This window comes from Homo sapiens, chromosome 19, assembly GCF_000001405.40.
Source record: "Homo sapiens chromosome 19, GRCh38.p14 Primary Assembly".
NCBI classification, from domain to species: Eukaryota; Metazoa; Chordata; class Mammalia; order Primates; family Hominidae; genus Homo; species Homo sapiens.
The window spans coordinates 10,716,227-10,738,092 of NC_000019.10; the positions used below are offsets into that span (position 1 = coordinate 10,716,227).

The window sequence follows — 21,866 nt, forward strand, 5'->3', positions numbered from 1 at the left end:
CCTCCTTGGCCTCCCAAAGTGCTGGGATTACAGGCATGAGCCACCGCACCTGGCGCTTTTTGCCTATTTCTTTGAGACCTGGGGTTTTGGGTCACAAAACAGGCAAATGCCATGAGCCACCCTCCTCCTCTTTCTCCATCTTCTTGTGCTGCCTCAGGTCAGAGCACTTACCTGCTCCTGCCTTCTCACTGGGTTTCCTTGTCTCTGGCCTATTTGTCTCCAGAGGGGTCAAAACACTTCAAATCCTCCTATTTGTCTCTGTCCACTGTCAGGAGTTCCAGTTCCCAGAACCCCAATTTTGCCTACAAAATAGCGTGTCTTTTCACGGGGAGAGGATTTGTTGAGTTTTAGTGGGTACTCAAAAAGATCTAAAGCCAGTTGGGGGGGTTCACACATGTAATCCCAGCACTTTTGGGAGGCCGGCCTGTGAGGGTCGTTTGGGCGCAGGAGTTTGAGACCAGCCTGGACAACACAGCAAGACCCTGTCTCTATAAAAAATAAAATAAAAATAATTAGCTGGGCATAGTTGCGCACGTCTGTGGTTCCAGCTACTCGGGACGCTGAGGCGGGAGGATCGTTTGAGCCCAGGTGCTTGTTGAATTGAGCTATGAGTGCACTACTGCACCCCAGCCTGGGCAACAGAGTAAGGACCCAGTTTCTAAGAAAAGAAGATTCATTAGCTAGACGCGGTGGCTCACACCTGTAATTCCAACACTTTGGGAGGCCAAGACGGGCGGATCACTTGAGGCCAGGCGTTCGAGACCAGCCTGGCCAATATGGTGAAACCCCGTCTACTAAAAATACAAAATTAGCTGGGCGTGGTGGCTCACACTTGTAATCCCAGCTATTCGGGAGGCTGAGGCAGGAGAATTGGTTGAACCGGGGAGGCGGAGGTTGCAGTGAGCCAAGATCGCGCTACTGCACTCCAGCCTGGGTGACAGAGTGAGTACCCCGCCTCAAAAAAAAGAAAAGAAAAAAGATTCATGATCTGCTAAAGTTGAAGAAGTGGGGGAAAACATTGGAGTGTTAGCGGCGTCAAGATCGGGCGTGAGCAGAAAGGGCACAGCATTTGCAAAGGCGTGGAGGAGTGATTTTATTGCGTTCTATCCCTAGGAAGCAATGACTTGGCCTCTACCATTTGCAGAGCGCATTGGGACCCTGCTCCCAGAGCTGGTTTGCAGTCTGGGAACTGAGATGCGCTCTGGGACTTGTAGTTTTCCCCAGTGCCAGGAAACTCAAAAATCGAGACATCGGATCCCACCACGAGGTGTCGCCCTTGAGCGAGTACGGTGGGATCTATCCTATACTTCAGAAGGCTGTTGCAGACATCCAACAATCACAAGGAAGAACGGGAGTTTTTCTGATTGACAGATATGGTTCTCAATGATAGTCAAGATTCGGATGTTAAAGCCCGCCCTCTTTTGCCTGGTTGGCTGGAGCAACGAAGTGATATTTATATGAACCAATGGGAAATTCTTAGGGAACGAGGTAGTAGCTCAATCCCCAACACCATTGGTCCACATTGTCTACTGGCACGTCTGCCTGCCAATAAGATGGTGGAACTTCGCCAATGGGCAGAGCCAACGTGCCTTTTTCGGAAACACCCCCTTCCTCTCTTGACAACTTGCTTTCTGCCGCTATTGGCTGTTGCACAACAGTGACGGTTCTTTTGTCCAATAAGTCAGCAAGACGGTCCCCAGGGGGAAGGTTTACTCAACCATAGGCCCGTGCCTAGTTTTTATTGGCTAGTGTATCCGAGTGGCGGTGCAGCAGGCCAGTCGCGTGCGGCGCGAGTGCTTTGGGCGCAGCCCCCGGGGCCGGGGCGGGAGGTCGCTCGGGTCGGGTGTCGCCTGAGAACCGGATGAGGCGGCGACCGTGAGGCCGAGCCGGGAGCGGGCGTCTTGCCGAGGCCCGGGCGGGCGGGGAGCAACGGCTACAGACGCCGCGGGGCCAGGTCGTTGAGGGTCGGCGGCGGGCGAGGAGCGCAGGGCGCTCGGGCCGGGGGCCGCCGGCGCCATGGGCAACCGCGGGATGGAAGAGCTGATCCCGCTGGTCAACAAACTGCAGGACGCCTTCAGCTCCATCGGCCAGAGCTGCCACCTGGACCTGCCGCAGATCGCTGTAGTGGGCGGCCAGAGCGCCGGCAAGAGCTCGGTGCTGGAGAACTTCGTGGGCCGGTGAGCGGGCGCGGCAGGGATCGCGGGCGGGTGGCGGCCTAGGGCGCGGAGGGCGGACCGGGAATGGCGCGCCGTGCGCCGCCGGCGTAACTGCGGCGCTTGCGTGCCCGCGGCGGGGAACCGGACGGGGTCGGGGAGGCGGGCCCTGTGGGACGCCCTGGGCAGAGGACTCCCTGCAGGGGCTCCGGAGCAGGCCCGGGCCCCAGGGGCGGTGTCACGGGCCAGGGCGCCGTAGGACAGGAGGTGCGCTGGAACCCTGCGGTCCATCTGGTCCCAGCTTTCGTGGGTGAAGTCTGCCATCTGGTTGGCCGTGGGTCTGGGGTAGATCCCTCTTCTGCTCTTTCGGGCTGTCCATCAGAGGTGAAACCGGCCATCTAGATATCTATTGGGGCGACCGCTGCGGTCTGGCTGGCTTGTTCTTGTATCTGGAGCTGCCCCCGCCGTCTGGTTGGCTGTCTCTCTGTCCTGGGCAAGCCTCCCTGCCACCACCATTTGGTTGTCCATCTGTCCAGTCCCACCTGGCAGCCCCCTGCTGTCTGGCTAGCTGTCCAGGGTGACCTCTGCTGTCTGGCCGCCCATCCGTGCCCCTCACAGACTTTAACACTGAGCAGTCCCTCTGTTGGGTGACACCAGCTGGCCTCTACTGTCTGACTGGCTAGCTGACTCCTAGGGGACCCTGTTTGATTCTCTCTGGCTGACTCTTACAGCTTGATTCCTGGCTAGCGCTGGCTCCTCTCTTCCGTGTGAATTCTTCTGTCTGTCTGGCCATCTCCTAGTCTGCCCATGACTACCCCTGAGTGTCTGGCACAACGGCTCTGGAAAGGGGTGGTAGGAGGGTAGAGGGGAGAACAGAGCTGAAGGAGGAGGTTTGGACCCTACTTCCCCTCTCAGCTGGAAGGAGGACTCTGGGGGTACCTTACTTCAGGATTCCTTTCCGAGTGCTAGAACACAGGGGCCCGCCTCCCAGCTACAGCCTACAAATTGGGGGCCCTCCTTTGGAGCCTGGGAAGGGGCTTCTTGCGTGATCAGGCCTCAGTGGCTAGCGCTGGGATGTAGCCTTCTCTGGACAGCCTTGAGAAGCCGCGGTGTGCCCATCTGTCCAGTGGGCAAACTCCACTCTCTGGGGCTGTTTCCAGGATTCAGGAAGCAAATGAATGAGAACAGCCCGTGCAGCCACCTCTCCCTCCCACCAACCCCTCTTGCCTTTCTTGTCTCCCAGATGGGCGGCCACTTCTCCATTCCAGGAACTACTCATTTGTGGTGGTGTGGCTGCCAAATGATAACATCCTCCTCCTGTCATTATTGTCATTGTTATTGTTGTTATCATTGTCAAGGGATAATGTCCCTTCTTGATTCAACATCTTGAATCCCAAGTAAGGAGTGGGGTGGAGGCTGTGTTATCATCCCCACCTTAGCTGAGCTGGGAGGCTCAGAAGGGACTGTGATCACCCAAGGCCACTAGGCTGGCGTAAGGCCTTGTGTCTGCCATCCCAGAGCCTTGGGGCTTTGCTCCAAGCAGCACAAATCTCCTCTTTTGCTACCTTGTCTCTAGCTCATTGCCTTCTGTCTACCGTGGTGGAAAGGTGTGGACTTGCAGCCAGCTGGGCCTGGCCTGATCTCAGGCTGGACTGTGGTGTGGGCCCCTTTGAGTGACCATCTTCCTGCCTGCCCAGGCTTCTGGGACGGGGGTGGGGGGTGTTTGCAAAGCTCTGTCTCTTTCACTTGCCTTGTGACCTTGCACAGGTTGTCTTGGCCTCTCTAAGTCTTGGTTGACTCTCCTAAACAAGTTTATTTTATTTTATTTATTTATTTATTTTTTTTTTTTTTGAGACAGAGTCTCCCTCTGTCATCCAGTCTGGAGTGCAGTGGAGCAATCTTGGCTCACTGCAACCTCTGCCTCCCAGGTTCAGGCCATTCTTCTGCCTCAGCCTCCCGAGTAGCTGGGATTACAGGCGTCTACCACCAAGCCCAACTAATTTTTGTATTTTTAGTAGAGACGGGGTTTCACCATGTTGGCCAGGCTGGTCTCAAACTACTTACCTCAAGTGATCCTCATGCCTTGGCCTCCCAGAGTGCTGGGATTACAGGTGTGAGCCACCAAGCCTCGCCCCAGGAGTTCCAAGACCAGCCTGGGTAACATGACAAGATGCCATTCTACAAAAAATAAAAAAATTAGCCAGGTAGGGTGGTAGTCCCACACCTGTAGTCCCAGCAACTCAGGAGGCTGGCCCTGGGAGGACTGCTTGAGCCCAGGATGTCCAGACTGCAGTGAGCCGTGATTGCACCATTACCCTCCAGCCTGGGTGACAGAACCAGATCCGGTTTCAAAAAAAGAAAAGAAAAAGTGCTTACTTACCTAACGCACTGCCTGGCACATAGTAGGTCTACATGGATGGGGCTATTGTTGTTTATCTGGCTGGTTCCTTTGCTATCAGGGACAAAAGCTAACCAGAATGAAAGTGCTTTCACGTTACACACTTAAGCCTTATGAGGGAGGCATTGCTATAATCCCCATTTTACAGAGCAGGAAACTGAGGCTCAGATAGCTGAGCAGAACACTCTCACTGGAGGCTGTAAAGTGAGGAGTTAGGTGTTCTGGGTTGGGAACCTGGGTCTCTCTCCCATCCTTACCTCTCCTCAGTCCCTCTACCCCTTGCCTTTCTCTCCTGTCTACCATGGTGTCTGGCAGCTGCCGGCCAGTATGGAGCTGGTTCCTGTGGCGACCTCCTAGAATCCTGCAATGCAGGAGTTGCTCATTATATATATATTTTTACACCGAGTCTCACTCTGTTCCCCAGGCTGGAGTGCAGTGGTGTTATCTCAGCTTACTGCAACCTCCACCTCCCATGTTCAAGCGATTCTCATACCTCAGCCTCCCGAGTAGCTGGGATTACAGGCGCGCGTTACCACACCCGGCTAATTTTTGTATTTTTAGCAGAGATGGGGTTTCACCATGTTGGCCAGGCTGGTCTTGAACTCCTGACCTCAGGTGATCCGCCCACCTCGGCCACCCAAAATGCTGGCATTAAAGGTGTGAACCACCATGGCTGGCCTCGTTAAGAGTATTAATTCAGTACCTGAAAGCCAAAGTTGTAAAAAGGCCTCTCTTTGGGTATGAGGGGCTCAAACAAGGCTTACTTTTTTTTGGGGGGGTGTAAGAGATAAGGTCTCTCTTTGTTGCCGAGGTTGGAGTGGAGGGGTGCAGTCCTAGCTCATTGCAGCCTCGAACTCCAGGGCTCAAGCAATCCTCCTGCCTCTGCCTCTAAAAGCACTAGGATTACAGGTGTGAGCCATTGCGCCGAGCCTGGATTTTCTAAGGATGTGGTCCGAGTGGGAACAGCCCAGTTAGTTCAGCCCTATAGCTGGAAGTCCAGATCACTGGCTCTGGGGGCCAAGGCCTGCCTGCTGGGTCTTTTGTTTTACCTGCGTAGCTTTTGTTTTTAATAAGACTTTCCAGTGTTAGATTTCCAGTCAATATCCGGATTTCTTGTGGCTCTAAGACACTCAGATCTATAGAGTTCTGAGTTGTCATGCAAAGGCTGTGGGCCTAAGGCCTGGTTCCACCATGTCTGGCTGTGCGACTCGGCCACGTGGATTTGGCGTTCTGGGCCTCAGATTCCTTTTCTGTAAGCTGAGGGTGGTAACTGGTACCCTGGGGCCTAGATGGGTGATTGGGTGATGCGTGCCGAGTGCATGTGTCTTATACGCATGGTGGCTGTTGTTGTAATCAGTTTCACCTGGCGTTGCTGAGCCTTTGTCCCTTGTGGCAGTAATGGCTTCGATTTCAGAAGCACCAGTCACTGTCCCATCAGACTAAGAGTGGCCACTCCAGCTGCCACAGTCCCCACTACTCCCTAGCACTCACCCAGGCCTAGATCATTTTGCTTGGAGCCTCCTGGCCCTGGAACCTTTGAGTTTGAGACCCCTGGCTTGTCTGCGGTGCACCAGCAGATAGAACTTTGGCCCTAAGGAGAAAGGAGGGCATCACTCCCTCTTGACCCTTGTCATTTAGCCTCAGGGGCTGGCCAGAAGGAAGGCCTTAGGCATTCCCGCACCCTAGCCTCCCGAGTAGCTGGGACTGCAGGCACCCGCCACCACGCCTGGCTAATTTTTGTATTTTTAGTAGAGACGAGGTTTCACCATGTTAGCCAGGATGGTCTCAATCTTCTGACCTTGTGATCCGTCCACCTCGGCCTCCCAAAGTGCTGGGATTACAGGCGTGAGCCACCGCGCCTGGCCTGAGATAGGGTCTTATACTGTCACCCAGGCTAGAGTGCAGTGGCACCATCTCTGCTCACTGCAGCCTTGACCTCCTGGGCTCAAGCGATTCTCCTACCTCTCAGCCTCCTAAGTAGCTGGGACTACAGGCACGTGCCACCACGCTTGGCTAATTTTTCATTTTTTGTAGATACAGGGCCTTGCTGTGTTGCCCAGGCTGGTCTCGACCTCCTCGCCTCAAATGATCCTCCTGCATCAGTCTCCCAACGTGCTGGCATTACAGGTGTGAGCCACTGCGCCCAGCCTCCTCTTCATTAAAATACAAGTTATAATAGCACTTCTTTCCCTTTCTTTTTTTTTTTTGAGACGGAGTCTGGCTCTGTTGCCCAGGCTGGAGTGCAGTGGTGCGATCTCGGCTCACTGCAATCTCGCCTCCTGAGTTCAAGTGATTCTCCTGTCTCAGCCTCCCGAGTAGCTGGGACTACAGTTGCGAGCCACCACACCTGGCTAATTTTTTTTTTTTTTTTTTTGAGACGGAGTTTCATTCTTGTTGCCCAGGCTGGAGTGCAATGGCACGATCTTGGCTCACCGCAACCTCCCCTCCTGGTTTCAAGCCATTCTCCTGCCTCAGCCTCCTGAGTAGCTGGGATTACAGGCATGCACCACCACGCCTGGCTAATTTTGTATTTTTAGTAGAGGCGGGGTTTTCCCGTGTTGGTCAGGCTGGTCTCGAACTCCCGACCTCAGGTGATCTGCCGGCCATGGCCTCCCAAAGTGCTGGGATTACAGGCGTGAGCCACCGTGCCCGGCTAATTTTTCTATTTTTAATAGAGATGGGGTTTCGCCATGTTGGCCAGGCTGGTTCCAAACTCCTGACCTCAAGTGATCTTCCTGCCTTGGCCTCCCAAGGTGCTGGGATTGCAGGTGTAAGCCACCGCGCCCAGCCCCGTCTTCTTTAAAATAGGAGTTATAATAGCACTTCTTTCCCTTTCTTGAATAGGGATTAAGTGAGACAGTTTGGAGTGCTTGGCATAGAAGAAGTGCTTAAAACATTAGGTGTTGTTCGTTCATTAAAAAATGTTTCCTGAGTACTTTTACTGTGTGCCTGGGGACATGGCCCTGAGCAAGTTACCAGAACTTCTGCTCTGGAGGAGCTGGCCTTTCAGCAGGAAGCAAATAAAGGAGAAGCATGGGCCACTTAGTGGCTCAGGCCCACAATCTCAGCTCTTTGGGATCCAGGCGGGAGGATCACTTGAGCCCAGAAGTTGGAGACCAGCCTGGGCAACATAGACCCCGTCTCTACAAAAAATAAAAACATTAGCTGGGCATGGTGACACCTGTAGTCCCAGCTACTCAGGAGGCTGAGGCCGGAGGATGGCTTGAGCCTGGGATTTCAAGGCTGCAGTGAGCTCTGATCACGCTACTGCCTTCCAGCCTGGGCGGAAGAACGAGACCTCGTCTCAAAAAAAAAAAAAAAGGCGATAAGTATGATGGAAAAAAGGATCAAGGAGCAGGATGAGGGAGAGATCACAGTTGGAGGGGGTACATTTTATTTTATTATATTATTATTCTTTGAGACGGAGTCTCACTCTGTCTTCCAGGCTGGAGTGCAGTCACGCGATCTCGGCTCACTGCAACCTCCGCCTCCCAGGTTCACGCCATTCTCTTGCCTCAGCCTCCCGAGTAGCTGGGATTACAGGCGCCTGCCACCAGGCCCGGCTAATTTTTTGTATTTTTAGTAGAGATGGAGTTTCACCATGTTAGCCAGGATGGTCTCGATCTCCTGACTTCGTGATCCGCCCGCCTCGGCCTCCCAAAGTGCTGGGATAACAGGCGTGAGCCACTGCGCCTGGCCAGAGGGGGTACATTTTAAATAGGGAAATTGGTGACATTTGAGCAGAGCCTTGAAGGAGGCGAGGAAGGAACCCCTGGAGACGGGAAGAGAATCCAGTGCAAAGGTCCTGATGTGGGAGGATGCCCGGAGGCCAGTTTAGCAGGCCAGTGGAGGGAGATCAGATCTGGGAGATATTAGGGTGGGACCAGGCCTCTAGGAACATTGTGGGCAGGGAGGCTGTCTGAGCAGAGGGAAGTAAAGCTGGTGGCGCTACTGCTGTCCCTCTGGACCTGGCCAAGCTGAGGGCTCTCTCCTTTGATTTCCAGCTTCAACTCAGTTTTCTCAGTAAGCAGACTCCACAGGCATGTAGGCGCCCCGTGCCATTTTTCTTTTAATAAGAAGCAGCTGTGCCGGGGATGCTGGCGTTTCCAGCTGCGTTTTTATTTGGCCTTTGGTGATGTGTCCCTCCAGGGATATGTGGATGAGCCGCGGGGGCACTGCCTGTGCCTCAGTGGGTGCTGCACCAGTGCACATCGGATGCCCGTTGGCTCCTGTCCCTGACAGATGGAGGGGCACGTGATGTGTTCCTTGGGCTGGTTTGTCCCTTTAACAGATCTTATTAGTTTAGAGCCACTTGGAAATGACATCTTCTGTTTCCAGTGACTTTCCTTTTGGGCAAAGACAAATTGCATCTTGAAAAGGCCATACATGGCCGGGCATGGTGACTCACACCTGTAATCCCAGCATTTTGGGAGGCCGAGGCAGGCAGATCACAAGGTTGGGAGTTTGAGACCAGCCTGGCCAACATAGTGAATCCCGATCTCTACTAAAAATACAAAAATTAGCCAGGTGTGGTGGCGCATGCCTTTAGTCCCAGCTATTTGGGAGGCTGAGGCAGGAGAATCACTTGAACCCAGGAGGAGGAACTTGCAGTAAGCGGAGATCACGCCATTGCACTCCAGCCTGGGGGACAGAGTGAGACTCCATCTCAAAAAAAAAAAAAAAAGGAAAAAAGGAAAGGCCATGCAAGGCTCGGTTAGGGTGGTCTGCAGTGCTGGGCCTGCTGGAATTGGTACAGTCCAGAGGGATCTGTGGGAATATGGAAGGCTTGGTTCTGCCACACACCAAAAAAGTGACCTCACTTCTCTGGGCCTCAGTTTCCTCATCTGGAAAATGGGAACATGGTGGTCTCTGCCTACTGGGAGTGGACTGAGAATCACGTAGCAAATTGTTGTGAAACAGGCAGCATTTGTGATCTCGTTGGTTGGCTTTTGTCTCCTTTTATCTGGGATCAGGACTCTGATGACAGGTGTACGTTTCTTTTCTCTTGCTCTGTCCCCCAGACTGGAGTACAGTGGCGTAATCATGGCTCACTGCAGCCTCCAACTCCTGGGTTCAGGTGGTCCTCTCACCTGAGTCTCCTGAGTAGCTGGGACTATAGGCATGAGCCACCACACCTGGCTAATTACAAAAAAATTTTTTTGGCAGGGAGCGATGGCTCACACTTGTATTCCCAGCACTTGGGGAGGCCGAGGCGGGCGGATCACGGGGTCAAGAGATTGAGACCATCCTGGCCAACATGGTGAAACCCTGTCTCTACTAAAAATCCAAAAATTAGGTGGGTGTGGTGGCTCTCACCTGTAGTCCCAGCTGCTCGGGAGGCTGAGGCAGGAGAATCGCTTGAACCTGGGAGGCGGAGGTTGCAGTGAGCCGAGATCGTGCCACTGCACTCCAGCCTGGGCGACAGAGCGAGACTCTGCCTCAAAAAAAAAAAATTTTTTTTTTTTTAGAGACAGGGTCTTACTTTGTTGCTCAGTTTGGTGTCAAACTCCTGGGCCCAAGCGATCCTCCTGCCTTGGCTTCCCAAAGTGGTGGAATTACAGGTGTGAGCCGCCGAACCCGGCCTTAGTTTCTTTTTCCTTAAAGAGAAGGAACTCATCATTACTCTGTTGATATAAATGGAGTGCCTATCAGTGCAGGCAATGTTCTTGCTCTGGGGATACAGCCAGGACCAGGACATGCAGGCACGCCCTGTTCCCCAGATCCTGAAATATCGACCAGAAGTTGTTCCTGGTTCCTTTCTAAGTGGGAATCATGGCTGCAAACAAGTAATTGGCCGTGAGAGTTATTTACACACATTTTGTGTACGGTGATGAGAAATGGGAGAAAAAATGCCCAGCATCGGATCACCAGAGGTCAGGAGTTCGAGACCAGCCTGGCCAACATGGTGAACCCTCATCTCTACTAAAAATACAAAAATTAGCCGGGCGTGGTGGCAGGCGCCTGTAATCCCAGCTATTCGGGAGGCTGAGGCGGAGAATCGCTTGAACCTGGGGGACGGAGGTTGCGGTAAGCCGAGATTGCGCCGCTGCACTCCAGCCTGGGCAACAGAGCGAGACTCTGTCTCAAAACAAACAAACAAACAAAAACCAATGATAGGGGATTTGGCCAGATAAGCGTGTCCAGACAACCGACTATCAACTCGCTACTCAGAGGGATCTAGAAGAATCTTTAATGACCCAGAAAGCTGCACAAGACCTGTTAGGTACCAGATGAAATGGGCTGTGGGATCCTGTCTTGTTTAAAACGATTGTATTTGCTCAGTGAAAAGACCGGAAAGACATACTCTGCCCTAACCCCACATGTGAATCGTCTCCCCATGTGATTCTTGGTTTGTTTTTGCTGGTTTGGGGATTAGGTTTATAATCAGGAAGACAGATTTCTCCAAAGCTGCGCTCTAGGCTGTCCAAGTGCTTTTTCAGAGTTACTTATTGACGGATAACAGCCCTTGATAGGTTCATAACATTGAAATCCCCTGGTAATAACCTGGATTGTTTCTGGATGAGGGCGGAAGATGGCCTTGGGGACAGTTGTAGATTTAGAGAGGAGGTTTTCTTTTCTTTTCTTTTTCTTTTTTTGTTTTTTTTTGAGACGGGATCTCACTCTGTTGCCTAGGCTGAAATGCAGTGGCGTGATCACAGCTCACAGCAACCTCAACTTCCTGGGCTCAAGGGATCTTCCCACTTCAGCCTCCCAATTAGCTGGGACCACAGGTGTGCGCCACCACCCCCAGCTAATTTTAAGAAATTTTTTGTAGAGGTGGGGTCTCATTATTTTTTGCCCAGGCTAGTCTCAAACCCCTGGGCTCAAGTGATTCTCCTGCCTCGGCTTCCCAAAGTGCTGGGATTACAGGCAAGAGCCACGGCACCCGGCCTAGGTTAGATTTAGAGTTTTCAGAGTTGGCTTAGGCGGTAGAGGCTGGCCTTTGAATGGAACCCTGTCTCGCTGTCGCTCTCAGCGTTTATATTTGGCTCAGAGCCACATCTGCCAAACTTCTGCCCGATTTGAATGAAAGTGCTGAAATTATAGGCCCCTCGGCTGCTGAAAAAAAGTGAGAACATCATGTAAACCGTAATTTACTGGGATTGCCAACTACAAGCTGTAATTAAGCCCTTATTGTGTTAAAGCTTTGGAAAAATCCAAGCCAATAATGAGATATTTATAGGGCATTAGCTACAATCTGAATAAAGGGAAAATGTGGCCCTGCGTCTGAAGCAGGACTGCAAAGAGAGGAAAGACGCCTGCTTCCGGGTGCGTTTTGGGTTTCTGTGAATATTGGTAACTAGGTCCCTGCTGGGTGGTGGGAAATTTTCCCCTGTGGCGTCACCCGTAGCTTGAACCGGGAGCTGGATGACTGTTTCAGTTTCATCTGCTGCTGGACATTTATGATGTTAAGAGCCAGTGTTTATGGAGAATCACCGTGTGCCACATGTGCAAGATCTGACCAGTGTCTTCTCTGCCCAGGGGTGGCAGCTGCTGCTCTTAGCATCCCTGCTTTATAGGTAGAGAAACTGAGGCCAGAGAGGGAGACTGGCCTGAAGTCACACAGGGAGGAGGACAGAGGAGTTGGAGCTTGAACTGGATGTGGGCCCTCTAGAGCCACACATATGGCGGCTTTGGGTGGGAAGGTGTGGGCCTGACTCTTGAGAGCAGGGCTGAATGGTGGGCACCATGGCGTTTGTATCTGAGGACTGGGCCAAGATTACAGAGGGAGTGAGCAACGCGTGGCTTTGGATATGCATCGAGGTTGTCAGCTCTGTGTCCAGCCTGCGTGTGGTAAGCAGCAACCACTCTACACCAGTTGCTGGGCACCCAGCAGGGACTGGGACAGACAGGACAGGTGAACAGTTAAATGAGCAAGAACATTCTGGGGCAGGCACAGGGGCTCACACCTGTAATCCCAGCACTTTGAGAGGCCAAGGCGGGCAGATCACTTGAAGCCAGGTGTTCGAGACCAGCCTGGCCAGCATGGCGAGCCCCATCTCTACCAAAAATACAAAAATTAGCTGAGCATGGTGGTACTTGTCTGTCGTCCCAGCTACTTAGCAGGCTAAGGTGGGAGGATCTCCTGAGCCCAGGAATTCGAGGTTGCATTGAGCTATGATTGCACCACTGCGCTCCAGCCTGGGTGACAGCAAGACCCGGTCTCAAAAAAAAAAAAAGGCTGTATGCGGTGGTTCACGCCTGTAATCCCAACACTTTGGGAGGCTGAGGTGGGAGTTCGAGACCAGCCTGGCCAACATGGCGAAACCCCATCTCTACTAAAAATATAGGCAGGAGAATGGCGTGAACCCGGGAGGCGGAGCTTGCAGTGAGCCGAGATCGCACCACTGCACTCCAGCCTGGGCGACAGAGCGAGACTCCGTCTCAAAAAAAAAAAAAAAAAAAAAAAAAATATAAAAAATTAGCCAAGCATGGTGGCGGGCACCTGTAATCCCAGCTACTCGGGAGGCTGAGGCAGGAGAATTACTTGAAGGTTGCAGTGATCCGAGGTGGAGGTTGCAGTAATCCGAGATCATGCCACGGCCCTCCAGCCTGGGCAACAAGAGCGAAACTCTATCTCAAAAAAAACAAAAATAAAAATATTCTGAAGAGTGAGAAGCGGTTTGCCCTGTACTGCATTGGGTGGGGGAATGGCTGCAGGGGGCTGCTTCACATGTGGCTTGTTGGGATGGGTGTCCTGCAGTGGAATAGCCCCGCCAGGACTTGGGGGAACAGCATCGCAGGCCAGGGAAACAGCAGGTGCAGAGGCCTCGCACACACCCGGCCCGCTGAGTGCCCCCTGCGGACCGGAAAGGACCAGTAGGCACGTGAGAGTTAGGACGCTGCCCGTGGAATGCCGACTTTTCTAAATTTGAATTACGCAAGTAGAGCGTGGAGACAGTGTTCTTGGAAAAAGGGAAACCATTACAGATGAGGAAGAGCACACTGCCCAGCCCGTCCCTTCCTCCAGCTCTACCTGGGAGCACCACTGTCACTTCAGGGTATGTCTAGCCAGACCCCTCTGGTGTTTCTGTACTTAGGTACATGCTGGTACCTATAGAGAATACGTGGCACCATTATGGGTGGTTATTTTTTTTTTTTTTGGAACAGGTCTCACTCTGTCACCCAGGCTGGAGTGCAGTGGCACAGTCATGGCTCGCTGCAGCCTTGACATCCTGTGCTCAAGCCATCCTCCTACCTCAGCCTCCTGAGTACCTGGGACAACAACCACATGCCACCACGCCCAACTAATGTTTATAATCTTTTGTACAGATGGGGTTTCTCTATGTTGCCAAGGCTGGTCTCAAACTCCTGGGCTCATGCGATCCTTTCACGTTGGCCCCCCAAAGTACTGGGATTGTAGACATGAGCCACCTCTCCCAGCCACGTGCATATATTTGTTGAATGAAAGTAGCTAAAGGCTGGAAGTGGTGACTCACGCCTGTAATCCCAGCACTATGGGAGGCCGAGGCAACATGGCTTGAGCTCAGGAGTTTGAGACCAGCCTGGGCAACATGGTGAGACCTCGTCTCTACCAAAAATACAAAAATTAGCAGGCGTGGTGGTGCATGCCTGTACTCTTAGCTACTTGGAATCCCGAGGTGCGAGGATCCCTTGAGCTAGGGTAGCGGTGGAACTTGCAGTGAGCCCACACTGTGCCATTGCACTGCAGCGTGGGTGACAGAGCGAGACCCTGTCTCAAAAAAAAAAAAGTAGCTAAAAACCAGAATGGAGTGAATTTCACTGCACAGTCATGGAGGGGACCAGGCAGAGGACAGCCCTGGGTCTTGGTTTTGGAGACTCACAGCCTGCCTGGGGATGCAGGGACCCTGAAGCAAGGACATCTTCCTTTGGAGGAAGTGGAGATTTGCTCCATCTATATAAAGAGTAATAACAGTAATAGGCTGAGACCCTGAGGCTGGGCAGCGTGGGTGTCTATCTGCGTTGGCTTCGAGGGCTGTAAGATGGGGCTAGCAGCGTCCCCTCCAGGGTGGGAGTGAGGCCCTGTATGGCAACCTGCGGGGTGCCCCCTCTGACTTTTGCTTCCTGCCTGGCTGCTCAGTGGCCCTGGCAGGGGCAGGCACCACTGCTCTTTCTGTTACAAGAGACCTCCTTTGGATAAATCTGAACACGCTCCCATGGCAGACCTATGGGGCGGTAGACAAGAGGCCAGCAGAGCTGTCCCAGGCCCTGGTGACACCTCCATGCCCAGGTGAAGGAGGAGCAGGCTACTTGGAGCCTGCCCTGTGACACACTTTCGCGGTGATGAGAGCTTCTCAGGGCTGCGATCCTGGCGGGCCAGTCAAGCGGGCAGGAGCAGCCCCAGCCAGGGTGACCCTGCCTGCTGGGTGATACGCCCTGGCACGACCAGGCCAGCCCTGGGGAAAGCCCCCAGGGCGGATCAGGGAGGGACACAGCTGTCCTGGCCATGAGACTTCTGTCTTTTGTATGGATACACAGGGTCCTTCTAGAGGGTCACAGCCTCCACCCCCGGGAGGCCTACCAGCTGGCCGCGCAGCCAGGATCCTGCAGCCACCAGGACACTGCCTTTCCAGGTTGTTCTTTTCTTTTCCTTCTTTTTTTTTTTTTTTTTGAGGCAGAGTCTCACAGTGTCGCCCGGGCTGGAGTGCAATGCATGATCTCAGCTCACTGCAACCTCCACCTCCTGGGTTCAAGTGATTCTCCTGCCTCAGCCTCCTGAGTAGCTGGGATTACAGGTGTGCACCACCACGCCTGGCTAATTTTTTGTATTTTTAGTAGAGATGGGGTTTTGCCATGTTGGCCAGGCTGGTCTCGAACTCCTGGCCTCAGGTGATCCACCCGCCTCGGCCTCCCAAGGCTCTGGGATTACAGGCGTGAGCCGCCGTGCCCGGCCCCCAGGTTGTTCTTTTCTACATCAACATCAGGGGACAGTGACTGAGAGAGGCCACGAGCCACTGGCTCAGCTTGACGAAGGCTTCCTGTGGTTTGGGTTGATGTATCTCTCTGTCTTGCAACACTGAGTTCCCCGTTGTCTGGGCGGAAGCCAGTCAGACGGAAGCCCGGCTTCTGTGGTGCCTGCCCTGGTGGCCTGGACAGGTTGCTGGGAAGCTCAGGTCAGGCTGCTTTCTGAGGTGGGGAGGCCCCACCTGGAATGTGCTCCCAGCACTGGGTGAAAATTGATGCACAGGCTTGATTTTTTTTTTTTTTTTTTGAGACGGAGTTTCGCTGTTGTTGCCCAGGCTGGAGTGCAATGGTGCAATCTCGGCTCGCTGCAACCTCCGCCTCCCAGGTTCAAGCGATTCTTCTGCCTCAGCCTCCCGAGTAGCTGTGATTACAGGCGTGCACCATCACACCCGGCTAATTTTTTGTATTTTTAGTAGAGACTGGGTTTCACCATGGCCAGACTGGTCTTGAACTCCTGACCTCAGGTTATCCGCCTGCTTCAGCCTCCCAGAGTGCTGGGATTACAGGCATGAGCCACCGCGCCCTTAAACTCTTTTCTGTTAAAGGAGTTATTCAACTGTTTACTCGTTGTGGAGAAAAAAAAAAAAAAAAAAACAGGCCGGGCGGTGGCTCATGCCTGTAATCCCAGCACTTTGGGAGGCCGAGGCGGGCGGATCACGAGGTCAGGAGATTGAGACCATCCTGACTAACACGGTGAAACCCCACCTCTACTAAAAATACAAAGAATTAGCTGGGCGTGGTGGCGAGCGCCTGTAGTCCCAGCTACTCGGGAGGCTGAGGCAAGAGAATGGTGTGAACCCAGGAGGCGGAGCTTGCAGTGAGCCGAGATCGCGCCACTGCACTCCCGCCTGGGTGATAGAGCGAGACTCCGTCTCAAAAAAAAAGGAAAAACAATTCACCCTGTCCGGAAGTGCACAGAGTAAGGCTGGGTGTCCTTTGCATGGGAACGACCTCTAGCAGTCTGTGGCTCTTGCCAGATTTTTTATATATATATATATATTTCTAGGTGTGACTACCCCCGACTCATCCAACCAGTGAGCCTATAAGTCTAGTAACAAACGCTCCCGCTCCACAGTCCAAAGTCTCAACAGAATGTGACTGTCTTGCACCAGGTCCCTGCTATATTTAGTGCCTCCAAGAATGTTTGGCTTTTGTTTTCTGTTTTTTTTTTCTTTTGAGACAAAGTCTCGCTCTTGTTCCCCAGGCTGGAGTGCAATGGCGCGATCTCGGCTCACTGCAAGCTCCGCCTCCCAGGTTCAAGCGATTCTCCTGCCTCAGCCTCCCGAGTAGCTGGGATTACAGACACCTGTCACCATGCCCAGCTAATTTTTGTAGTTTTAGTAGAGATGGGGTTTCACCATGTTGGCCAGGCTAGTCTTGAACTCCCGACCTCAGGTGATCCACCCTCCTCGGCCTCCCAAAGTGCTGGGATTACCAGTGTGAGCCACCGCGCCTGGGCTGGTGTGGTTTTTTTTTTTTTTTTTGGAGACAGGGTCCCACTCTTTCACCCAGGTTGGAGTGCAGTGGCATGATGTCGGCTTACTGCAACCTCCCCCTCTCGGGCTCAAACCATTCTCCCACCACAGCCTCCCAACTAGCTGGGACCACAGGCGCGCACCACAATGGCCGGCATTTTTTTTTTATTTTCGGTAGAGACAGGGTTTCTCCATGTTGCCCAGGCTGGTCTTGAACTCCTGAGCTCAGGTAATCTGCCTGCCTCAGCCTCCCAAAGTGCTGGGATTGTAAGCATGAGCCACAACGCCCTGCCTAGAAATAATTTTAGATTTAGAGAAAATAAATAAGCTTCAAATTTACAGAAAGTACAAAGATAACACAGAGAGCTCCTGTACATCCTTCACCAGTGTCCTCTAATTTTATATTTCTTACAACCAAGAAATTAACCTAGCTACTCAGGAGGCTGAGGCGGGAGGATTGCTTGAGTCTAGGAGTTAAAGCCCAGCTTTGGCAACATAACCTCTTCTCTAAAAATAAATGAATGAGGCCGGACATGGTGGCTCACGCCTGTAATCCCAGCACTTTGGGAGGCAGAGGCAGGTGGATCACCTGAGGTCAGGAGTTCAAGACCAGCCTGGCCAACATAGCGAAACCCCATCTCTACTAAAAATACAAAAAATTAGCCAGGTGTGGGGACATGTGCCTGTAGTCCCAGCTATTTGGGAGGCTGAGGCAGGAGAATTGCTTAAACCTGGGAAGCGGAGGCTGCAGTGAGCCGAGATCGCGCCACTGTACTTCAGCCTGGACAACAAAAGGAGACTCCATCTCAAAAAATAAAAAAAAAAAAATGAATGAATGAAATTAACCTTGGTATACTACTATTAAGTGAGGCCTGGCGGGATGTTGTGGCTCACACTGTAATCTCAGCACTTTGGGAGGCCAAGGTGGGTGGATCACTTGAGGCCAGGAGTTTGAGACCAGCCTAGACAACATATCAAAACCCTGTCTCTACAAAAAATTGAGTGTGGTGGTATACACCTGTAGTCCCAGCCACTCGGGAGGCTGAGGTAGGAGAATTGCTTGAACCTGAGAGGCCAAGGTTGCCATGAGCTGAGATCAAGCCACTGCACTCCAGCTTGGGCAACAGAGGGGGACTCTGTCTCAAAAAAAAAAAAAAAAGGAAGGGAGGCCAGGTACAGTGGCTCACACCTGTAATCCCAGCACTTTGGGAGGCTAGATTGCTTGAGCCCAGGAGTTTTAGACCAGCCTGGGCAATATAGTGAGACCTCGTGTGTAGAAAAAAAAAAAAATTAGCTTGGCCTGGTGGTGCTCACCTGGAGTCCCAGCTCCTCTGGAGGCTGAGACAGGAGGATCACTTGAGCCCTGGAGGTTGAGGCTGCAGTGAGTGATGATTGCACCATTGCACACCAGCCCGGGCAACAGAGCCAGACCCTGTCTCAAAAAAAAAAAAAAAAAAAAAAAGCCAAAGCCAGAATGTACAGATTTCTTCAATTTTTCCCATATGAGACTAATTTAAAAAAAAATTTTTTTTTTTTATCGAGATGGGGGTCTTGCTGTCTGGAAGTATACATACTGAGAAATTTTATTTTTCAAACAAAATCACCCCTTTTCCTGTCTTAGGACTGGACATTGCATCTAGTTGTCGGATCTCCTTAAGCCTTTTTCTGGTCTGGGAAGCAACTCAGCCCTTCCTTGTTTTTTATAACCTTGGTAAGTCATGGAATGTCCCTCAATTAGGGCTTATCTGGAATTCTTCATGGTGAGCCTGGGGTGTGAGTTTTGGGGAAGAAGGCCATTGGTGAGGTGCCCCTCTCTTCTGTGAATCTTTTTTTGTTTGTTTGTTTTTTGTTTTTGTTTTTTTGAGATGGAGTCTTGCTCTGTCGCCCAGGCTGGAGTGCAGCGGCGCGATCTCAGCTCACTGCAAGCTCTGCCTCCTGGGTTCACGCCATTCTCCTGCCTCAGCCTCCCGAGTAGCTGGGATTACAGGCTGCCACCATGCCCGGCTAATTTTTGTATTTTTTTTTAGACGGGGTTTCACCGTGTTAGCCAGGATGGTCTCGATCTCCTGACCTCATGATCTGCCCGCCTCTGCCTCCCAGAGTGCTGGGATTACAGGCGTAAGCCACCTCGTCCAGCCATCTTCTGTGAATCTTATCAGGAGTATAGGATACCAACAAGACTGATAAATTATTGACAGTGATAACTGATGATGCTGACCTTGATCTCTTGGCTGAGGTAGGCTTGCTAGGTTTCCCCACTGGAAAGTTACTAGTTTTCTTCTTTTCATACTCTATCCTTTGGGATCATGGAAAATTTTATTTTTATTTTATTTTTGGAGAGTCTCGCTCTGTCATCTAGGCTGGAGTGCAATGGTGTGATATTGGCTCACTGCGACCTCCGCCTCCCGGATTCAAGCGATTCTCCTGCCTCAGCCGCTTGAGCAGCTGAGACTACAGGCGCCCACCACCACGCCCGGCTAATTTTTTTTTTTCAAGAGATGGGGTCTCGCTGTGTTGCTCAGGCTAGTCTCAAACTCCTAGACTCATGTAATAATCCTCTTGCCTCTGGCTCCCAAAGTGCTGGGATTACAGGCATTAACCACTGTGCCCGGCCTTTTCTGGCACTATTGAAAAGACCATCCTTTCTCCCTAAAGTTGCTTTTGTCTGGAATTAGTTGGCCATATTTGTGTGGGTCCAACCTGAACTGTCTGTTCTGTGACGTTGATGTATGGCTCTGTCCTTTCTCCAAAACCACATATCTTTCTTCTCTTTTTAGATAGAGATGGGGGCTGGGCACAGTGGCTGACGCCTGTAATCCTAACACTTTGGAGGCAGGTGGATCACTTGAGGTCAGGAGTTTGAAACTGGCCTGGCCAACATGGTGAAACTCCGTCTCTACTAAAAATACAAAAAAATTAGCTGGGCGTGGTGGTGGGTGCCTGTAATCCCAGCTAATTGGGAGACTGAGGCAGGAGAATCACTTGAACACGGGAGGTGGAGGTTGCAGTGAGCCAAGATCGCGCTATTGCACTCCAGCCTGGGCAACAGAGTGAGACTCTGTCTCAAAAAAAAAAAAAAAGAAAAAAAGAAAAAAATAGAGATGGGGTCTCACAATGTTGCCTAGGCTGGTTTCAAACTACTGGGCTGGTGATGCTCCTGCCTCAGCCTTCCACAGTGCTGGCATTATGGGCGTGAGCCACCACGCCCACTCATTTCTATATTGCTGTAGCTTTATAGTAAGACTTGAAATCAGGCCATGTGAGTCCTCTTTTTTCTTGTTTCTCAAAATTGTTTTGTCTAGTCTAGTTCCTTTGCCTCCACATATATATTTTAGAATCAGCTTGTTGATTTCATAGAAAAGATCATTGTGTATTAGTACGTGGAAAGCCACGGTATTAGTTTTTTGTTTGTTTGTTTGTTTGTTTAGACAAAGTCTCTCTCTGGCACCCAGGCTGGTGTGCCAATAGTGTTGGGATTACAGGCGTGAACCACTGTGCCCAGCTGGTACTGGTTTTTATAACTGTGTATTATTCCATCCACTGTCACTACTTCCCCAGGACCAGTACAGTTTCTGCCTCCTCAGTCTTGCACCTTTAACCTTGTCCTCACCCCCAGGCTGTTCTCCCTGCAGTGGACAGAGGGAGCCTGTTAAGAATATCCTTCCTAGCTGGGCGCCGTGGCTTACGCTGTAATCCCAGCACTTTGGGAGGCCGAGGTGGAAGGATCTCTTGAGCCCAGGAGTACGAGACCAGCCTGGGCAACATAACGAGACCCCCATCTCTACAAAACATTTAAAAATTAGCCAGGCATGGCAGCGCATACTTACAGTCCCAGCTACTCAGGAGGCTGAGGTGGGAGGATTGCTTGAACCCAGGAATTTGAGGCTGAAGTGAGCTGTGATCCTGTCAGTGCACTCCAGCCGGGGAGACAGAGGGAGACCCTATATCCTTCCTCTACTTGGAATCCTCCCTGGCCCTCAGTTCCCTCAGGGTAAAAATGAAGTCGTCCCTGAGGCTCCATGATGTTCTCATGCAGGTGAGGCGCTGTCCTACCTCATGGCTTTTTCACATGCTGCTTCCACTGCCTGCACTGCCCTTCCCCCAGATAACCCTGTGGCTCATTTCATCAGCATTCTAAGGCCTCTGCTTAAAAGCCTCCTTCTCAAAAGGCTCTCCCCCTGGCCACTCTGCTCAAACGCCCCACCCTGTTCTCTCTGTCCCCTTCCCCTGCTTAATTTTTCTTGGAACCACTTGTCATTCCTGTCATTGTTCCACCTATGCGTTTGGTTTCTTGTTTTCTTTTTTTGGGGTGGAGTCTTGCTCTGACTCCCAGGCTGGAGTGGAGTGGCGATCTTGGCTCACTGCAACCTCTGCTTCCCGGGTTCAAGCGATTCTCCTGCCTCAGCCTCCCAAGTAGCTGGGATTACAGGCGCACGTCAACATGCCCGTATATTTTTGTATTTTTAGTAGAGACGAGGTTTCACTATGTTGGCCAGGCTGATCTCGAACTGCTGACTTCAGGTGATCTGCCAGCCTTGGCCTCCCAAAGTGCTGTGATTACAGGCATGAGCCACCGCACCCGGCCTATTTGTTTGATTTCTCTTTCTGTCTCCCCCCACTAGAAGGGGAATGCCCCATGGTAGGGCGGTGCCCCTGGCTGTAGCGCAGTCCCTTGCATGGTGCCTGGCATGCGATAGGTAATCGGGGCACCCATCTCCCTCTCGGGATGCACTCATTGATGTACTTGTCAATCACTGAGCAAGACCCACTCAGCAATGTCTGCTGAGCCTGCTCTGTGCCAGGCTCTGACCTGAACTGCCACCCTTCTGGAGTCAAACAGGCCTGGTTGCCACCAAGAGGAGTTAGGCCTGGCAGAGGAGACAAGCATTAGTC

At 52.1% G+C, this 21,866-nt stretch overlaps 1 protein-coding gene and 1 non-coding gene across 6 annotated transcripts in view, besides 6 other annotated features; both read left to right on the forward strand.

The window, feature by feature from the left end:
• Positions 932–1,121: an enhancer, noted in NCBI's record as "active region_13986". NCBI's record gives its function as "activates an Ori minimal core promoter by ATAC-STARR-seq in GM12878 lymphoblastoid cells {active_cell/tissue: GM12878}" and the evidence as "EXISTENCE:reporter gene assay evidence [ECO:0000049][PMID:35858748]".
• Positions 1,312–1,431: an enhancer, noted in NCBI's record as "active region_13987". NCBI's record gives its function as "activates an Ori minimal core promoter by ATAC-STARR-seq in GM12878 lymphoblastoid cells {active_cell/tissue: GM12878}" and the evidence as "EXISTENCE:reporter gene assay evidence [ECO:0000049][PMID:35858748]".
• Positions 1,712–2,381: a silencer, noted in NCBI's record as "silent region_10090". NCBI's record gives its function as "represses an Ori minimal core promoter by ATAC-STARR-seq in GM12878 lymphoblastoid cells {active_cell/tissue: GM12878}" and the evidence as "EXISTENCE:reporter gene assay evidence [ECO:0000049][PMID:35858748]".
• The window catches only part of DNM2 (dynamin 2), a 113,825-nt gene continuing 93,811 nt past the window's right edge, over positions 1,853–21,866 (forward strand). For all 5 annotated transcript variants that reach the window (NM_001005360.3, NM_001190716.2, NM_004945.4 and 2 more), the window contains exon 1: positions 1,853–2,177. In NM_001005360.3, the coding sequence (NP_001005360.1) occupies positions 2,017–2,177 (161 nt within the window). In that variant the 5' untranslated portion in view covers positions 1,853–2,016. The remainder of the gene's footprint in view (positions 2,178–21,866) is intronic.
• Positions 2,178–2,277, forward strand: MIR638 (microRNA 638). Its single transcript, NR_030368.1, has one exon. It is a non-coding gene; the product is annotated as a microRNA 638 (primary transcript).
• Positions 2,872–3,011: an enhancer, noted in NCBI's record as "active region_13988". NCBI's record gives its function as "activates an Ori minimal core promoter by ATAC-STARR-seq in GM12878 lymphoblastoid cells {active_cell/tissue: GM12878}" and the evidence as "EXISTENCE:reporter gene assay evidence [ECO:0000049][PMID:35858748]".
• Positions 14,707–14,756: an enhancer, noted in NCBI's record as "active region_13989". NCBI's record gives its function as "activates an Ori minimal core promoter by ATAC-STARR-seq in GM12878 lymphoblastoid cells {active_cell/tissue: GM12878}" and the evidence as "EXISTENCE:reporter gene assay evidence [ECO:0000049][PMID:35858748]".
• Positions 14,797–14,846: an enhancer, noted in NCBI's record as "active region_13990". NCBI's record gives its function as "activates an Ori minimal core promoter by ATAC-STARR-seq in GM12878 lymphoblastoid cells {active_cell/tissue: GM12878}" and the evidence as "EXISTENCE:reporter gene assay evidence [ECO:0000049][PMID:35858748]".